Here is an 18,096-nt window from a genome sequence, read left to right as displayed (position 1 = left end):
TCCTCTTGATTTTTCTTCATGCTGGTCATATCATTTACTAAAGATATGTACTAGTTCAGTTAATGTTTCTTTAGGGGATAAAAAATAGAAAGTGGGTTTATAGTCAAATATTTGAACAAAATTAGTATTTTTTCGATATTCTTCCAGAAAATTACATGGATTCAAGCAATATTATATATGAAAGTAGGATATCCATAAATCAGTAAAAAAATTATTTTTCTTACCTGCTTTTTTGTCAGTAACTACATTTTTATTTTTCTAGTGTAGATCATTGCAGATGAAACATCACATCATTGACAAGAGTTTAAAGCTTTAACATTGTACCAGGGAAGAAAAACAGCATTTCAATCCTGGAAATGAAATAGTTCAATAATTTACAGAGTGCTAAAAATTTCTGTTATCAAACATTATATCATCAAAGTCAGTAAGTAAAAATATAAGTATAGTCCCTCCACTTCACTTAAAATACACATGAAAATGACCTGTGGTACACCTTTTAAATCTACTCTCTTTAAATATAATATTAAAAAAAGTCAACTTACTAACAAATTACAAAAAACATTTTCTCTCTCTATAGTTTAAAAATGTTTTATCTAATAATTGTATCATCTCAAACTTCCCATACTTTGACAACTACCATAGTCTTTCTTTTATTACATATATTTTGCCCATTCAACTGGAATTTACATTTTTTTATGAAGAGGTTCTTTTATAATGCACATTTTTTAAAAACAATTAATGGAAAATACATATAAAACAATTAAAACAAAAATAATATTGTAAGTAAATATACATAGTGATCAGTTTTCCCTTGTGTGTCAGGTTTGGAAACACTTTCATCAGTCTGAATAACATTAACATTCTTAATATTAATTAATTTTTCTACATATAATTGAATAACACAAGTTAGCAAAATTAAGCTTACTTTTATGAGGAAGATAAAGAAAAGCATATGACAAATAATCACTGGGTCGATTTCTCTGAGATTACATATAAAGACATCAATTTGAAAACTCATAACATTGACATTTAGAATTTGCAATATCACAGTCAAAACCAAATATTTACTAAACACAATCCATTTAAGAAACCAGGCCCAAATACTCAATAAGCCCACGAACAGCGAAGTCATAAGCACTGCCACAGATACAAGGCTAAAAGTAAAAGGCTAAGAATCTCAATCAAAAGGTAATTTAATCTTTAGCCACTCTTTGCTCTGAGTCTTAGCAATGCAAGGCCCACTCCAAAGGTAAAACTAGCGAGTAAAATTTCTACCGTTTTGGCTTTTTGTGGGGAACCTAGGTGTGGTGCCAGCCTTCAACTGGATCAATATCTCTTACCATATATAAAAATTAACTCAAGATGGACTGAAGAATTAAATGTAAGACCTAAAACTACAAAAATCCCAGAGAAAAAAATGAAACAAACTGTTCTGGACGTTGGCCTAGGCAAAAAATTTATGACTAAGTCCTCGATAGCAAATTCAAGAAAACAAAAAATATGCAGATAGGACCTAATTAAACTAAAAAGTTTCTGCACAGCAAAAGAAATAATCAGCAAACTACACAGATAATATTAGGATAACATTTTCTTTCACTGTGTGCATCCAGCAAGGGCTAATATTCAGAATCTACAAGGAACTCAAACAACTAAAGAAAAACACGAATAACCTTATTAAAAAGTGAATAAAGGACATGAACAAACATTTCTCAATAGAATACAAATAAATGGCCAATGAACATGAAAAAAAATTCTCCACATTACTAATCATTACAGACATGAAAATTTAAACCACAATAAGACGCCATCTCACACCACTCAGAATGTTCATTGTTAAAAACTCAATGTTGGCAAAAATGCTGAGAAAAAGGAACCCTCATACACTGTTGGTGGGATGGAACTTAATACAACCTCTTTGGAAAACAATATAGAGATTTCTCGAATAACTGAAAAGACAACTAGTGTTTGATCCAACAGTCCCATTACTGAATATCTACCCAAAGGGAAAGAAATCTTATGAAAAAAATGCCTGCACTCAAATATTTATCACAGTACTATTCACAATAGCAAAGTCATGGAATCAACCTGTGTTCATCAACAGATGATTGGACTTAGAAAAAATATGAAACATGAACACAAATGCACCATGGAATACTATGTAGCCCTAAAAGAGAAATCACGTCATTTGCAGCAACATGGATAGAGCTGGAGGCCATTTCTCTAAGTGAAATAACTCAGAAACAGAAAGTCAAATCCCTGCTTAGAAGTGGGAGCTTAACAATGGGTACACATCAACATACAGAAGGGTATAACAGACATTGAAGACTCCAAAAGGTGGAAGGGTGGAAGTGGGGGTGAGGGTTGAATAATTACCTATTGGGTACAATATTCACTATTTAGGTGATGGTTATATTAAAAGCCCAGACTTCACCACTACACAATGTGTCCATGTAACAAAACTACACTTGCACCTCCTAAATCTGTATATATATATATTTAAAGCCTCAAATGATTCCTTTAGCCTGATAGTCACATTCATGTATGGTCAGTTTCCTCCTCACTGAATATAGGCCTCACCTATGTAATTTATAATAGTACATTGTAAATATTATAGTGTGTGACTTCCAAGTTGAAAACATTCAAGACATTTTATTACTACTTTTATCTTGCTCCCTTTTGGAGCACTCACTCCTGTGGGCACAAAGACTACGATTTGTATATCCCAGCAGTCTATGGAACTACAGAACAATCCATATGTCAAGGGACCATGGCCTCTTTCCCACAGGAAGTACAGACTTGCCAGTCATGTGAGTGAACAATCCTGGAGCTGAATCTTCCAGCCCCATTAAGCCTTAAAATGACAGCATATCTTGCTAATACCTTGGCTATAAAACCTTGAGAAGTCCTGAGCAAGAACTAACCAACTAACTGCCTCCCAAATTTCTGAGCAATATAAATTGTGTGAGATGATAAACACTTTTTATTATTTAAGCCCCTATGTTTTGGAATAACTTTATACAGCAGAGAATATTAATACACTAAGTTATCTCTCATCTCACTTTCCCACACAATACATTATTTTTTCATTCTCCATCACATAACAAATAAGATAAGAATTGGGAGAATGCTAGTGAGTGGATGTGGATGGGGGAAGTCATTTATTGACTTCATTTATAAAACATTCTAGGCAATAAACATAGACATCAAGGTCCATGGCAGCTTTACATGATGAAAAATGAAAGTTACTGCACTTTATCAGTTATAATAGTGAGAATAGTGGGATAAATAAAAGGTTCTACCTCAGTTGAAGAGGAGCTCATCAGATGAATACCTATCAGACTCAATAAGTTGGAATGTATGTGATCTTCTTCAGTTATCCTTTGGGAAAAAGGACTTGATGGACAAGATCAAGGACCACCACACAACCTGTTTTTGGCAAAAATATGGATGAGACTAAATCCCTCCTAATCAAAGAAGAAAGAAAATAGGCCAAATAAAAATGCTGTGGACAACAAGCATTATAAACTTTCCCTGAAAATAAAATCTAACTTTTGTTCTACAGCTGGCAAAAAAAAAGTTTGCCAGCTGTAGAACAAAAGTTAGATTTCTTATACATTTACTCAAACAATACTAAATGCCATAAGACAGGTGAATACCATTCATGCTATTTTTGAAAAGATTACAGAGGGGTCAAGAATGTACACTCAGCCATAATGTATTCTTTAAGGAAAGTCAGAGAAATACATACATACTTTAGGGACTCAAATAATTCAGGTCACCTACTTGAAATCAATACATAAATACATACACTAGTAAAGTGAGCAAGTAAAAAATGCGAGAACTGAAAGGCTGTAATGTAAAAGTTCAAGAAATGAGCATTATAATCACAGACATAAATGTGAGTTAAAATTATTTTTAGAACTGGAGAAACAAAAATGATGATACATGATAAACAACCGTTCCTTGAAGAAACAATATGCAGTGAAAATCACATTTTAAAAATCTGTCTTTAAATCACAAGATTATATTATTGAACTCAATCAACATGGAAAATTCAGTGGTAGAAAGAAAAATGGTATAATTTTTTGAAGTCCACATGAGCATCTATCACTGTCATAAAAACAACAAACGAGACAGTGAGGAAATGAGAAAACAATGGTTAAATTGATTAATAAAATGTTTGTTCTGTATTGTCTATGTGGGAAGATAATTTCTTATACTTAATATATGTTTTCTAAGCTAATTTCAGAGAGTAAGTTCCTCTTGTTTACCAACACCCATTGTTTGACTTTTCAGTGCCAATTTGCTATTAAATGTTTGTACATTGAATATAAATTTTTGCTAATCCTCCTCTTTGGAAGGTTGTGCCACAGGGTACTTATAATACCAATTGTCTCCAATCACTAAGTGTACATGTATGTATGAAGATAAGCCCCAAATTTCAAATTCCCAAAGTAGATTAAATCACTTATTAAAAATTGGCTTTGGAGTTAATTTGTAATGTGATGGCTATCAAATTGATGAGCAGTCTCTTTTAGGAATAAATTGACATATTGCCTGTTCCCCAAATCTTCTTCTTCTGTTTAAAATTCCCTGGGTGAAATAATGCCTGTCAACAATTCTCCAGATCAGTTTGAATTGTGAATATTCTTTTTCTAGTGATTTATTCTTTTGTATTAAAAATAAAAATATTCTTCCAGATACTAATACTTTAAATCTAGGCTATGAGTCATTTACACCTTAATGTTATATTGCTGAAAAAACTCAACGCTCTCCCAATTGATGGCTGAGATTGTTATTAATACTTTGGAAGAATGGGCATTTTCACTAAATAGGACTTGGGAAAAACACTATGAAACACACAGAGTGAATGTGGAAGTGAAAGCACTATTGGTGCCAATAAACAGCCAAATAATAGTAAGAACACAATGAAACTGTGAAACTGTGTTTTCATTTTGTTTTACTTTTTTTGCCAGACTGGAAGCATCTCAGCATTATGAATTGGTGTATTTCTAGCAAAGAGCACAGTTGTGGCACACTGTACTTAACAGGTACCAAGGACATATTTTGTTTCCATAGCTGCAAATTATTGAAACATAATTCTTTGAAGAGAAAAGAAGCATAGAGAAATGATCTATGAAATGGTCAAAGAAATTCCCTTTATACCTCTTTATTTTGTCATTTTTGTAAGTTGGGATACATTGAACATAAGCCTTGGAGGGTGATTACTTATACAAGTATAGACAGACTTTGCATTTCCTCTAGAGCTTCACTTTGGCACTCACCACTAAAATTTATTTCATGTTAAAAGTGTATTCAGAAGATTTTTAAATAGTTGTATTTAGCAATCACAATGTTATGTAACATTTATTTGAGTAAATTTTTATGACAGATTTATTAAGAGTGTGACTATAAGCAAGAACAATTTCAGCGACAGATATAGTCACGCTGTATGAGAAATTAGTTTAAAAAGAACTACCTGTGCAATATTTTCTTCAGGTTTTTATTCCTGAATATCTCTTTTCAATATCTTCTTGATATTTTTACTTTATACATCATTGATCTAATGTTGCTCATGAAGCAAGCTATCACATTTTTAGTTTGGATGAGTTTATGAGATGCAAACTTGTTGAAAGCAAAGCTGAAGACTTGTACTGACACTTCATTATTCTACCAACAAATAATTCTACTTAAATTATTTTTATAAAAAAGAAGTCTGAGGCACAGTTGTTATAGGCAGGAGAATAATAACTTGAAAGTAGCATACATGTCTCAAATTTTGTTTATATATATTTATGACATGTAGTTATATGCATTTTATATTAATTATTGAATATATATAAATATATAAACTCTTTGAAGGCCATTTAGTCCAGATTTCTCAAACTGCACATAGAACAGCCTAAGTAGATGCATGTGGTTATGGTTCTGTTTCAATCTCTATTTTTAGAAAAAAATAAATTATATAATCTAAAGAATTAATTAGAGTAAATCGGTGGTTATTGATTAGTTTACTTATCCCCTTGGTATATTAATCACTAACAGCTTTGGTGGTTTTAATCATAATGTGGTTTTTAAGTATCTTTATTTATAGTCATGTGTTATGTATTAAAGACATTTTTTAAAACAGGAAGCTTAAACAAAACTAAACTGAATAATAAAATTGATTATAGACTTCCGCATTCTGTTAGGATTTAATAAGTCATTACTATAGCAACACTGCCACTAAAAAAGCTTAAAAGCAAACAAACTATATGGCTTCTGAGTATGCAGGAGTTTATAGCATAGAACTTGGCATACTGACTTAAAAATCTAGAACTTTGAACAGTGTATATACACAACTGTTTTTAGGCATTGAAACAATAAGCAGTGTGAAACTGTGGTCCCTGAGAGAAGGAAAACAAATTAGATAATTCTAGTAATCCTTCTGGTTTTTGGTCAGGAGAAAAATGGTGGACCATGAAAAATAGGTGGGAACACAATGGAGATTGTTCTGGGTTAGGAAGACAGAGGAAAAGGCTGCTTAAATTTATGAGGCAGAGTACTGAAAACAAGTGAATTACACAAAAAACAAACAACAATAAAAAAGAATTCTTCAGATATCTACACACATGCTCTCTTGACTCTTTTCTAAATGTTAATATGTACATGTGTTAGGTGAAATTATATGAATGAGTAAAGACCAACTGCCAGGAAAGTACAGATTGAAGAATTCTTGGAACACACACAGAGCCTAGAGATGCTCAAATTCCATTTAACCAGAGAGATCTTGATAACCAGTGAGTGATCATTTGCGTGTCCAGGAAGGTCAATCTTAGAATTAAGTATAAATTAGCATTGGTATATATTAGACCCACCATAATAAAAAATAAAGCAAGCCTCAAGTAATCAATTTATCTGGAAGTAACTTAATTTTTTGCCAAAACAAATTTCAAATTCCTGAAAGGCAGACAACAAAATCTACATGCTCTATCAACATAATATGCCATGTTAGTATGCAATAAAACAAACTAGACGTGAAAAACAAGCCACAAGAGAGTTGACAAATATCTTTAAAGGACAGAAATGAGAAAATAACCGAGGATTATATACTTATCACAAATATCTTTGAAAAACTAAATTTTAATTAAAATATTTAAGAAAAACCAAAGATGAGAAAATCATTGCCAGCAGATATTTTCAATAATAAATGGCATAGGAAGTTCTTCAAATTAAAGATAAATGATACCAGAAGCAAACAATGATTTCATAAATTAATGGAGAGTGCCATAATTAATAAATATGTTGGCAGAGATTAAAACTGTTTCTTCACTTTTAATGCTTTCAAAAAACAATGGACTGTTTTATATATATATATGTATATATATACACACACACACATACACACACAAATATATATATACACATATATATACACATATGTATGTAACAGATATATATATATATAATTTGGGGCTAACGCATATGTAAAAGTAAAATACGTTACAAAAAAGTATCAAAAATATAAAAGAAAATGTGAATTTCTGTTTTTTATACAAAAAGTGGTTTCATATTATTTTAAAGTAGATGTGGTAAGTTAAAAATATTTATTGTGCTGGGCGCAGTGGCTCACTCCTGTAATCCCAGCACTTTGGGAGGCTGAGGCAGGTGGATCACGAGGTCAGGATATCAAGACCATCCCGGCTAACATGGTGAAACCTCGTTTCTATTAAAAATATAGAAAATTAGCCAGGCGTGGTGGCAGGCGCCTGTAGTCCCAGCTACTCGGGAGGCTGAGGCAGGAGAATGTCGTGAACCTGGGAGGTGGAGCTTGCAGTGAGCCAAGATCGCGCCACTGCACTCCAGCCTGGGCAACAGAGCGAGACTCCATCTCAAAAATAAAATAAAATAAAATAAATATCATATATATATATATATATATATATAGACGACTTCAGAACAGCAAGACACAAACTTGCATACTCACAAATTAGAGTTTTAGCTAATTTAAAAATGGAGATTAAGTGGAATTTCTTAAAATAACCAATAAACAGAAAACAAAGAGATAAAAGAAACACCAAATGAGTAAAATAGAAAACAAATGTGATGTTAGAATTATCCCAACTAAACTAAAAATTATGTAAAATATAAATGGCCAAAACATGCTAATTAAAAGGTAGATGTTGTATGATAAAATGTAAGAAAAAATACCTAACTAAATTGTGTCTAAAGGAAATACATATTTCCTGTGAAGACAGATGTAGCAGAGATATATGAGGAAAAAAAGATATATCATCCAAACAGTAATGTTAAGAAAGCTAATGTACATGTACTTAATTCAGACCTTCAAAATAAATGAAACAACAACAAAAAGAAAGACAAATCTGAAAAGCACAAATAGATTTAAAATAATATTTGGAGATTTTAACTTTCTTAGCTCAAAAATTTCTAGAATAGGCAGAAGAAAATGAGGAAGAGTAGAGAAAACTTAAAACCTTCAACCTACTTACCTAGTTGACAACCAATATCCTCATTTTATATTGATAAGTTTGCCATCACTAAGTTCCTCTGGCATCATGGTGTCAAAGTCAATATCCCCCCAGTCTGCTATTTCTTTTATTTCTGTTGAATTTCAGTTTCACTTTCAACATTGCCATTTTTGTTTATTTGTTGTACTTTTACATCTACTGGTCAATTCCACCTTTGATTTTTCACTTTTCAAAATCTCACATAAGTGTATCACTGAAAGATAAAGAGGCAATATCACTCCATGATTTCATTGGCATGCATTAACTGAGTAACGTGAAGTGAACAATCAGCAGCAGACTGAAAAAAGTGACATGACTGGTCACTGATTATAATGCACATCTGTTGCTTATGTTGTGATTTGATGATCTAGAGGTGAAATTTGAACCATATTTTGGAGGCACTGGTGTCATATAACTAAACCCACAGTAACAGATATCCAGGCTTATCATAAGCTTGAAAATCAAGTTAATTTCTGCAAATATTTAGCAAACTATATCTTAAATACAAAAAGAATAAAAAAGAAATTGTAAAGTTTACTAAGTAGTTTTATTTTTGAAATAATTTTGAAGATGATATTTTTAAATCTATCTTATATATAAGTTTAAATAAATATGTTGATGTTATTAGAAACAGGAAATCAATATGAGCAAAAATAAATATATAATAAATTACAAAATCCAATAAATTAGGAAAATCTTTGTTGCAAATATAAGTATATAAAACAATATGATTCATAATTTCAAAATATAATCCCTAGCTATCTCCACTGAAAAGACCTAGAAGCAATGCCATATCCAGCACCAAAATCTTAGTTACTAAATACAGTTTTCCAATAAAAGAAGCCAGGGATCTTTAAAAAAAAATGTTAGCCGTAGATCTAAGCCAGTGAAAATACAAGGTAAGCCCATAATGTCATTGGCCAGAAAGCAAGGGAATGCTCGAAGACCAAATGATGCATGTTGAAAGGACAGAAGGAAAGCTGGAAGGAAAGCTAACTAAATGCAGGCAAACTGGATTACTGTCAAATTCTGTGGATAAACAGTGTTTTCGGAAAGTTCCAAAATATTACTCCCTTGTTTATTTGCAATTTTCAAAAACAAAACCAAACTTTATCTAGTAGAAATGAAAACTTTAACCAAGTGAGACAGAGAGAGTTTTCACACAGGTACTGATGACTGAGCCTTCTCAGGGTAAATGCCATTAAAGAGTAAAGCCTGGTAGCTTTACAGGCTTCATTATCTGCCCTACATGCTGTTAGGAAAAAGCTGAGTGTTGGGAAAAAAGCTGAGGCAGGGCTTGCATGCCTGACATAATGTAAAAGAGTCTTGGAACATGTCCAGGGTCCAGGGTCTAAAGCCCCTCAAGGCCTTTGGAACACCAAGCTCTCTGCCAAAGGGCGGAAGGCTGCCCTGCTGCACCACAATCTAAGCCCAGGGCATAAAACCCCTCGTGGCTTGGATGGAATCCAGGGCTCAGGGCATAAAACCACTCATGGCCTCTGGAATGTGTCTAGACTTGATAGCTCCTTGCTTCTGGCACTCCCAGGCTTGTGGATTGATTGTGTCTTAAACCAGAAGAACATGTGTCCCATTATCTCAAGTAGCAGAACATGTTCCATATGCTTCAAAGAAAATGCTAAACTGTCACAGCTGTAGATCACGCACTTGATGCACCGCTTTCTTTCAACCCCCACATCCTTACCACCTGCTTCTTTGTTTGATCACCAAAAAATAGTGTGGGCTTCCAGAGCTCTGGGCCTTTGCAGCCTCCATACTAGCGTTGGCCCCCGGTCCCACTTTACACCTTAACTTGTCTTATCTCATTCCTTTGACTCTGCCGGACTTCGTAGCCCCCACGGTCTGGTGTTGGGTCTGATCACCCCAACACATGCTTTGTAAATTTTTCTACCAGTATTTTATTTTCAATTTTTATTTTACATTCAGGAGGTACGTATGCAGTTTTGTTACATGGGTATATTGCATGATGCTGAGTTTTGGAGTATAGATGATCCAGTCACCCAGGTAGCAAGCATAGTACCCAATAGGTAGTTTTTCAGCTCATTCCCTTCTCCCTCCCTCTCCCATCTAGTAATCTGCCCACTGTCTATTGTTCCCATCTTTATGTCCATGTGTGCTCAATGTTTGGTTCCCACTGATAAGTGACAACATGCAGTATTTGGTTTTCTGTTTCTGCAGTAATTTGCTGAGGATAATGGCCTCCAGCTGCACCCATGTTGCTGCAAATAACATAATTTTGTTCTTTTTATGGATATGTAGTATTCCAAGGTGTACATGTACCACATTTTTATCCAATCCACAGTTGACGGGTAGCTAGGTTGATTCCATGGCTTCCTATTGTGAATAACACTGCAATGAACGTACACATGCATATGTCTTGTTGGTAGAATGATTTATTTCTCTCTTTGTGTATGTACCTAGTAATGGAATTGCTAGGTGGAATGGTAGCTCTGTACTAAGTTATTTGAGAGATCAGCAAACTGCTGTCCATGATGGCTGAACCAATTTACATTCCCACCAACAGTGTATAAGGCTTTCCTTTTCTCCACAACCTCACCAGCATCTGTTATTTTTTAACATTTTAACAGCAGCCATCTGAGTGATATGAGATGATATCTCACTGTCATTTTGATTTGCATTTCTCTGATAATTAATGATAATGTTTTCTCTCAGTTCCTGACGTGACATGCTCCTTCACATCTCAGTGATATTGACCTTTGTGTTACATTTTCTGGGACATCTCTTCTCTCTTGCTTCCACTCCTAAATTCACCTTCTCACTCAGGTCACATACCCCCAAGCTAGTTAATTTATTTTAATCTTTTAAGACAACAAAATTAAACTTCCTCAAATAAGTTTTCTTATAGGTCAGGTCAGGGCATTTTGTCATATGCTCTAGTCATATCCTTCTTCTTTCTGATTATTATCACAATTTTGATTACGTATCTTAATGTCCCCTCAAAGTGTTCAACATTCATTTTTGCACTAGCATATATGCTCTAAAAGGGAAGACAGCATGTATATTTTGTTTATTACTCTGTCCTCACATAATAGAACAGTCACATATACATAGAAGGTACTCAAAAATATTTTAATGGACTAATATAGGGACAAGTATAGGTAAAAATTTAATTTAAAAAATAACTTTTCCTTCCCATGTTTCACCTTATATAATTAATAAATATGCAAGTTGTCTTCAATTTTAAACCAAAAAATTTTCTAACATTTAACTAACAGCTCTCCTTTTCTTTTGTAGAGTCATTGAGAGTAATACTGTGAAGTTCAGGATAGAGAAGAGATCAATTATAAATCCCCAAATGAGGCAAGCATCCAATACAGGATTATTCCAACTGGTAAAATTCTGATGTGTTTGTTTATCTTCTTAATACCTTTAAACATACAGTGTGAAGGTTTGTTGATTGTATTGATCATAGAGCATCCTGTGGAGTTTTGTGTTACTCCCTTCCAAATAATAGGCTCACCTTGAAAATGTAAAGGTCAAAACAAGGTAAAGGTTACAACTTCTTGACTGACAAGCATTTATTTCTTTCATGAGATTAAGATTCTTCTAAGTCATTGTCACTGATTTTCTTCTGCCAAAAGCTATATATCTTTCCCAAAAAACCTATAGCAATTAAATGAAAATAAAGAAGAGAAATAAATCAAATCAAACCATAAGAGAATTGTCAAGGTAATCGCCTTCCTTTGATAGAATATTGTATCCTATCTTATATTTGTTCTAAGGATTTTTCCCACCAGATGTTCATATTTTCTAACATCCAAAATGCAATTATTAAACTGGCTTCTGCAAAGTGACATACAATTGTATAAGAAAATCTTTTAAACATTGATTACGTCAGTTTCCTCTCAAAGAATTTCTAGAATGTGATTGTGATGTATTTTTAGATATCATTTGGAAGATTTAGAGTTGCTAATCAATGAGTATAAAGTTGCAGTTTTACATGCATAAGCTCTAGAGACCTAATGTATGACATTAGACTTGTAGTTAAGAAGAGGTAATGTACACTTAAAAATCTGTTAAAAGGGTAGATCTCATGTTAAGTGTTCTTAACACAATTAAATAAAAATAATAATAAAAGAACTTGCATTGGATTTGCTCAGGGAAACCTAACTAAATATCTCTTTTATTTATATATTGAAGTTGAAATTAAAAATATATAAATAAATAAAACAAAATAAACATAAACAATAAAAACCAGACATGGAAGCTAATTTTAATCATAGATCTACATAGGGGTACAACACTATTTATTGTTTGTTTTAGTTTTTGTTTTTGTTTTCTAAGATCTGTCATAAAAGTCTACACATTCTAATTCCCAATCTAAATAGAATGATATATTCATATGACAGGTTTCTGTGTTCAGAGCAGGCAAGAATGTGGCTAACTTCCAAAATGAATTATACATCAATATTATCTTGATGACTGTCATTATGTGGAACATATGCTTATATGATTACAAAGTTGGAAATGTAATTTAAATTAAAAGTACCTATAATAATATGCAGCTTATTGTATTACAAAGGGGCTGATTTAAGTGGTTACTTAAAAGATACATAAACATTTTAAAAACAAATATTTTAAAATAGTGTCTAATTTAGAAATTCACTGTACTTACTGAAGTAGAATCTGACATTAAAATAAATTAAATTGTACATTAGCCAAGGTAATTGTCTTTCAGACAAAGGTGGCTAAAGGTTTAAAGAATAAAACAATCAAACATTTTAAAATTTTTTCTATACCCTTGTGTATGCAATTTGGCAGAATAGTCCTTTTTTTCTCTCCGAACTGGAAAATGTTGAGATTTGCCTTTAGAGACTTATTTAAAGTTAAAATATTTGTGCTGACTAAATTATACAAAGAATGATCTGTCATTCTTTAATGTTGCAACAATGTCAACAAATTTTTTTACTATAAATTTAAGGCTATGTTATGTGAAACTGTATTAAAATTAACCCAGTAACTTTATATGAGTCACCCTCATTTCCGCATAATGTTACCAGGCCTAATTTGATCCTACTTGTATTCATTCATTCATTTATTCATTCATTCTTCCTGCACAGCAAATTTCTTTCAGAACTCCTCAAAACAGCCTATGTAGGTGTCTAATCTAAATTCAAAGTTTGAATTTAATTAAATTTGAACAAAAATTTACATTAACAAATAGTGGCAAATGTTATGCTAATCTTCATTTACAAATTTCTCCATTAAATTATAGATAAGCTGTTTTCCATTGAGAAACAGGAAAATTTCAGATTCCCAGATGATCAGCTGAACCCATGCATTTAACCCTATTATTTGCTAATAGCTCATTAAAAAATACACACACACACACACACACACACATACACACATTGTTCTTTTTATATATACACATTGTAGATGGTTAGATAGGTAGATAAATGGATGCAGAGAGAGAGAGAGAGAAAGAGAGAGAGAGAGAAAGAGAGAGAGAGATAGACAGATAGATAAAACAAATTCTACTGCCCTGCCATAAGCCATATGGTGGTAAATAACTATAATCAGATAGACATATGTTAGGATACCAGCTCTACCAAATAAGAGCCATGCCATCTGGAACAAGATGACTAATTTCTGTAGCCCAAGCTTCCCAAACTATAAATATAGTATTAAAGTACCTTCCTCATTGGGCTCTTGAGACTTTACATAGGCTATAGAAGCAAAAATAAAATAAAATACAGCATGGTACCTGGTGCATACTAATGAAACTCTGTATAGGCATGGGCAAAGACTTCATGTCTAAAACACCAAAAGCAATGGCAACAAAAGCCGAAATTTACAAATGGGATCTAATTAAACTAAAGAGCTTCTGCACAGCAAAAGAAACTATCATCAGCATGAACAGGCAACCTACAGAATGGAAGAAATTTTTGCAACCTATCCACCTGACAAAGGGCTAATATCCAGAATCTACTTAAGACTCTACAAAGAACTTAAACAAATTTACAAGAAAAAAACAACCCCATCAAAAAGTGGGCAAAGGATATGAATAGACATTTATCAAAAGAAGACATTTATGCAGCCAACAAACATATGAAAAAATGCTCATCATCACCACTCATTAAAGAAATGCAAACCAAAACCACAATGAGATACCATTTCACACCAGTTAGAATGGTGATCATTAAAAAGTCAGGAAACAATAGATGCTGGAGAGGATGTGGAGAAATAGGAACACTTTTACACTGTTGGTGGGAGTGTAAATTAGTTCAACCATTGTGGAAGACAGTGTGGTGATTCCTCAAGGATCTAGAACTAGAAATAACATTTGACCCAGCAATCCCATTACTGGGCATATACCCAAAGGATTATAAATCATTCTACTATAAAGACACATGCACACGTATGTTTATTGCAGCACAATAGCAAAGATTTGGAACCAACCCAAATGTCCATCAGTAATAGACTGGATAAAGAAAATGTGGCACATATACATGATGGAATACTATGCAGCCATAAAAAAGGATGAGTTCATGTCCCTTGCAGGGACATGGATGAAGCTAGAAACCATCATTCTCAGCAAACTATCACAAGAACAGAAAACCAAACATTGCATGTTCTCACTCATAAGTAGGAGTTGAACAATGAGGACACGTGAACATAGGGAGGGGAACATCACACACCAGGGCCTGTCAGGGGGTGGGGGACAAGGGGAGGGTAACATTAGGAGAAATACCTAATGTAGATGACACAAGAAGGGAAACTTTGAGAATGAACTGGGTAATTTTTCAGCTAAAACCCAGGACAACGTCTAATCTCACAGCAGCTGAATATGGCACAAAGATGTACCATGAAGCAATCTTATTTATCACATAATGTTCACTTAGTAAATTGGAGAAATTTCCTTTTTCAGCTCTGAATATAGTAAAAATTCATATATATAAAGAAGAGATTCCAAGCTGAGATAAAGCAAAGGCTTCCCTTTAAAACTCAGTTGACCCAAAACATTGAATACAATTTAAAATATCCTAATTAGAATTATCAAGATGTAAAAGAAAAGAATTAATGAGAAATTGAGTTCAAGAAACCAGAACATGGTATAGAGGTAGAGAAAAAAAAAAATCTCAGAACCATTTATGTAAAATTAAAACATCTACAGACAGACACACACACACATACACACACACATATATACACACACACAAAATTGCATATTGTCTCATATTTAGAGGCACTAAATTGTAGATGGAATATTACTTAAAAAGACATTAATTATAATTTTGCTCTTTGAATGTTTATAGTAAGAAGACCCAAAATAAATAAGTTTAAATGAAAATTATACTACATAGAAGACATTTCTAGAAATTTTTATGTGAACTAGAACTTGGATATTAAAAGAACGAGCTGGATAATCATTAATCCATTAGAAAAAATTCCTATGCTGAAATATGTCTTATTCAAGATTGAAATGTACATATAGATATACAGAAGACAAAGCTGAAATGTACATATAGATATACAGAAGACAATTCCTGGTAACATTTACATATTAAGGGATAACATTAAAATCAGATAGCTCCAAAGTAAAATTTGATAATCTACCAATACGAGATTCAGAATAGGTTAAGATTTTTTTTTATCAGCAAATCAAATGTTAGAGAACAATAAAACAATTCACAAGGTTTTGAGAGAAAAATGAATGGATGTTCTTGAACTGTTGTATAAATTATATCAAAATGTATCCAATTTTGAACGTGGAAAGGTTTAGAAATAAAGGTTTAGAAATAAAATTTATCAGTTACTCTGCTGTGTAACAAGACATTCTGCCATATTTACTGGCAAAACAATAGACAGTTTGTTGCTCATGAATCTATGTGGATCTGCTGGGTTGCCCTCTGGTATTTCCTAGGTTCCTTCCTGCGTCTATGGTTGTCTTCGGGTGGGCTAAGCATTTCTGCTGTTCTTGGTAAGGTATGATATTATTTCTGGAACTGGAGCTAGTAGAAACTGAGCTGAATAGGTTCAGTTCCACATTGTCTCGCAGGCTCCAGAAAGTTAAACCAGCCTTGTTCATAAGGCAAATGCAGAGGTTACAAGTGAGAGAATGGAAGCAGACAATGTCCCTTAAGGCTTATTTTTAGAACTGGCATAACTCACATCTAAAGCAATATATTACCAAACAGGTCACAAGGACAGCCCAGATTCAGTAGTTAGGGAAAAAACAACACTCTTGTAAAGTGCAGAGATAAAAGAAAGGGGTAAAGAATTGTAGCTATTTTAGTATCTACCAAATAATATTGAAATAAAAATTTAAAATACTGCAGAAATTGAAAAAAAATTCTTGAAAGAACAAATAATAATTTGAAAGGACCAACTCATTATGTATATTGGATTTTGATGATTTGTTTATGTGTCACTGTGGCTAGGCTGTGGTATCCAGGTTTTGGTCAAATGTTATTCTAGATGCTTCTAAGAAAGTATTTTTTAGATGAGATTAATATTTAAATCAGTAGAAGTTGAGTAAAGTAGATTACCCTTCATATGGTGGGTAGGCCTTATCCAAACATTTGAAGGGCTTAATAGAAAAAGACTGATCTCCCTAGAAGACAGTATTATGGCAGCAGGCTTTTTTGGACTTGAATTGAAACTCTGCCCTGGGTATCCAGCCTGCTGGCTTACCCTAAAGATTTTGATCTTGCTAAGTCTCCATAATTGCATGAGCCAATTTCTATAATTTCCTTCTCTCTAATGTATGACAGATTTTAAGAAAGCTCAATACTCATTTAAAATACATATATATAATATTTTTATATATTATATAGATACGGGAGAGAGAGAGAAAGGGAATGAGAGAGAGAGGTATATCCTGTTATATCTGTTTTCTGGAAAACTAATATCCAGATTTTAAAAATATTTACTTTATATATTCTGGTTATTAATCCCTTGTCAGGTGGGTAATTTGCAAATATTTTCTCCCACTCTGTGTTAAAAAAAAATTTACAATTTAGTGTTGACACATTATGCAATTTTATTTTATTATTCTCATTTAAAATTAGAAATTTTATTTTATGTGTAGTTTTATAATTAGTTTTTTCTATGAATTCTTAAGATCATGTCTTATCCATATATGTCAACATAAGCAATACCACATATCTACTCTGATTATTATTTGTGAATTCATAACATAAACACTATTTGATAATTTTGTGTTTTTCCTTTTATGTTACATATTTTTTCTTTCATTTTTGGTTTACATCTAATAATTTTACATATTTATGACATCCATGTGATGTTGTGATATATACAAATACGATATGTAATAATCAAATCAGAGTGATTAGCATATTTATCACCTTAAATAGTTATCATTTATTTGTGTTGGTAAGATTCAAAGTCCTCTCGTCTAGCTATTGAAAATAGACAATAAATTATTGTTCATTATATTAATATTACAGTACTACGGAACACTAGAATTTATTCCTCCTATCTAGCTATAATTTTGTTTTCATTAAGCAAACCCTTTCTAACCTCCCTTCTCCCTAACCTTCTTAGCCTCTAAGAACCACAATTATATTCTCTACTTCTATGAGTT

General features: G+C 32.7%; 1 long non-coding RNA gene across 1 annotated transcript in view; it reads right to left on the bottom strand.

The window, feature by feature from the left end:
- Positions 1–18,096, bottom strand: part of LINC01821 (long intergenic non-protein coding RNA 1821) — a 75,363-nt gene that overhangs the window by 42,070 nt on the left and 15,197 nt on the right. Inside the window, exons 2-4 of the long non-coding RNA NR_110222.1 lie at positions 8,490–8,721; positions 3,300–3,426; positions 225–350 (exon numbers count right to left, since the gene is read on the bottom strand). This is a non-coding gene — a long non-coding RNA (long intergenic non-protein coding RNA 1821). The remainder of the gene's footprint in view (positions 1–224; positions 351–3,299; positions 3,427–8,489; positions 8,722–18,096) is intronic.

The sequence above is a fragment of the Homo sapiens genome, chromosome 2 (genome assembly GCF_000001405.40).
Source record: "Homo sapiens chromosome 2, GRCh38.p14 Primary Assembly".
In the NCBI taxonomy this organism is placed as follows: domain Eukaryota; kingdom Metazoa; phylum Chordata; class Mammalia; order Primates; family Hominidae; genus Homo; species Homo sapiens.
This window is presented reverse-complemented; position numbering and strand designations above follow the sequence as displayed.